A 2,374-nucleotide genomic window follows, 5' to 3' on the forward strand; every position below is an offset into this window, starting at 1 on the left:
GGCTACTCACGGAAGAAAACTGTAAGCCACACCAGGTGTGAGGAGGGGAGGTGATAAAAGGATTATAGGGTGGAGGAACGGAGGCTGAGGAAGAATTGGGACCTAGTTCGGCCTGGCGAGGAAGGGAGAGGTCAGATGGGTCTGTAGAAAAGGAAGATTAGAAAGACTCAGCAACGATTGGGGTTGGGACTGAGGGGACAGGCAGGAGGGAAAGAAGGAAGATTTGGGACAAGTTGCATTGGGAACAGAGACTAGGAAGGGACCGATGTGTAAAAGAATGCCTGGATGTCAGGCATCTCAGACCGTTTGCCTATTTTGCGACAAGAATTATTTAGATCTTGCAGGATGGAAAAATTGAAAGTGCTGTTTTCTGGTTATTTGGAACTACTGTCGAGTTTGTATTGGGGTCAAGCGGCATTGCAGAAGAAAATAAGATGCTTAGATTTTAGGTCAGGTGAGAGTTGAAGAGGTTTTAAGTTCTTAAGAACACAGGCTAAGGGAGAAGAAGGAGGAATGGAAGGTGGAAGCTTGCCCATAGTGAAGGAGGAAAGCCCAGAGAAGAGACGAGACAGGGAGAAGTGGTGGGGGGTTCTTGCCCTCCAGAAAAGCAGAGAAGGGGTTGGGGCACAGAGATAGGAGGTCGGGGCATGGAAATAAGGGATCGGGGCACAGAGATACGAGGTTGGGGTACTTGCCCCTTCACCAGAAAAGCGGGACTTGCTGCTAAGGGTGAAGGAGAAGGGGTTGGGGGTTTCTTGCCCCCCAGAAATGCAGAGAAGGGGTAGAGACATGCGGAGAAGGGGTAGAGACATGGAGAGAAGGGGTTGGGGTACTTGCCTCTCCCCCAGAAAAGCGGGACTTGCTGCTAAGGGTGAAGGACCAAGGCAGGTGTCCCTGTGTGGTCTAACACCTCTGAAACCTGGGTGAATAATCAGAGAGGTGTCCCTGCAATGATTAAACACCAAGGGAAGGCTGCCTTCCCTAGTTCGTGACTGGCGCCAGAGTTTTGGGTCCATGGATAAAACGTGTCTCCTTTGTCTCCACCAGAAAATGAAAGGAATTGAAATAAAGAGAAGGGAGAGATTGAAGTGTGGCACCAAGATTGAAAGGAGAAAGAGGTTGAGGGATAGTGAGGGAGGTTGAAGAAGAGAGTAAAAAGAGGCTGCTTACCGGATTTGAAATTGGTGAGATGTTTCTTGAGCTGGTTGGTCTGAGGACCTGTGGTCATAGGTGGATCTTTCTCACGGAGCAAAGAACAGGAGGACAGGGGATGGATCTCCCAAGGGAGGTCCCCCAATCTGAGTCACGGCACCAAATTTCATGCGCGTCCCTGTGAAGAGACCACCAAACAGGCTTTGTGTGAGCAACAAGGCTGTTTACTTCACCTGGGTGCAGGCGGGCTGAGTCCGAAAAGAGAGTCAGTGAAGGGAGATGGGGTGGGGCTGTTTTATAGGATTTGGGTAGGTAAAGGAAAATTACAGTCAAAGGGGGGTTGTTCTCTGGTGGGCAGAGTGGGGGTTGCAAGGTGCTCAGTGGGGGAGCTTTTTGAGCCAGGATGAGCCAGGAGAAGGAATTTCACAAGGTAATGTCATCACTTAAGGCAAGGACCGGCCATTTTTACTTCTTTTGTGGTGGAATGTCATCAGTTAAAGCAAGAACGGGCCATTTACACTTTCTTCTTTTGTGGTGGAATGTCATCAGTTAAGGCGGGGCAGGGCATATTCACTTCTTTTGTAATTCTTCAGTTACTTCAGGCCATCTGGGTGTATACGTGCAAGTCACAGGGGATGCGATGGCTTGGCTTGGGCTCAGAGGCCTGACACATAATAATTAAAAATAGAGAATATTTACAAAAGTCAATGATTGTCTTCACTTACAAATGACACCAGCTATGGATCTTTTTTTGTCAATTTGGCTTGGATTATTCCAAAATAGTATTGTCCTGAAGGTACAGGAGAGAGGTCCAGAGCACAGAGAGGTAGTTTATTTTTTCATTTTTTTGCCCGAAATAATTACTGTTCTGAGGAAGTGATACAAAAGTTTAATTAAATACCAATATTTCTAATGTGACAATTTACTTGGAGAAATAAATATTTTAATATGCTTTTCTATTTAGTAATTGTTGCATGAAAATAAAAAAAATTGTTATCAAGTTCACCCATTGAAATCTGCATCATGTTCTACACAAGTTTTGCTAATTTTTGAAAGCTGGGGTCACTCAGATACCTTATTCTTAACCTGAAAGACCCTCAGACCAAATTTTATTCTGTGAAATATTTTTAACTTTTGAGAATAATCTAATTGCTTATATAAATATTTATCAAAAATAGACCTTTGAAGTGTTAAATGGAAAGAAAGGAAAACCTTAGATAAG

General features: G+C 44.9%; 1 annotated feature.

The window, feature by feature from the left end:
* Positions 1,406-1,930: an enhancer, noted in NCBI's record as "NANOG hESC enhancer chr4:176387921-176388445 (GRCh37/hg19 assembly coordinates)". NCBI's record gives its function as "activates a minimal SCP1, AML or CMV promoter by ChIP-STARR-seq in naive H9 embryonic stem cells {active_cell/tissue: H9 hESC(naive)}" and the evidence as "EXISTENCE:reporter gene assay evidence [ECO:0000049][PMID:30033119]".

The sequence above is a fragment of the Homo sapiens genome, chromosome 4 (genome assembly GCF_000001405.40).
Source record: "Homo sapiens chromosome 4, GRCh38.p14 Primary Assembly".
In the NCBI taxonomy this organism is placed as follows: Eukaryota; Metazoa; Chordata; class Mammalia; order Primates; family Hominidae; genus Homo; species Homo sapiens.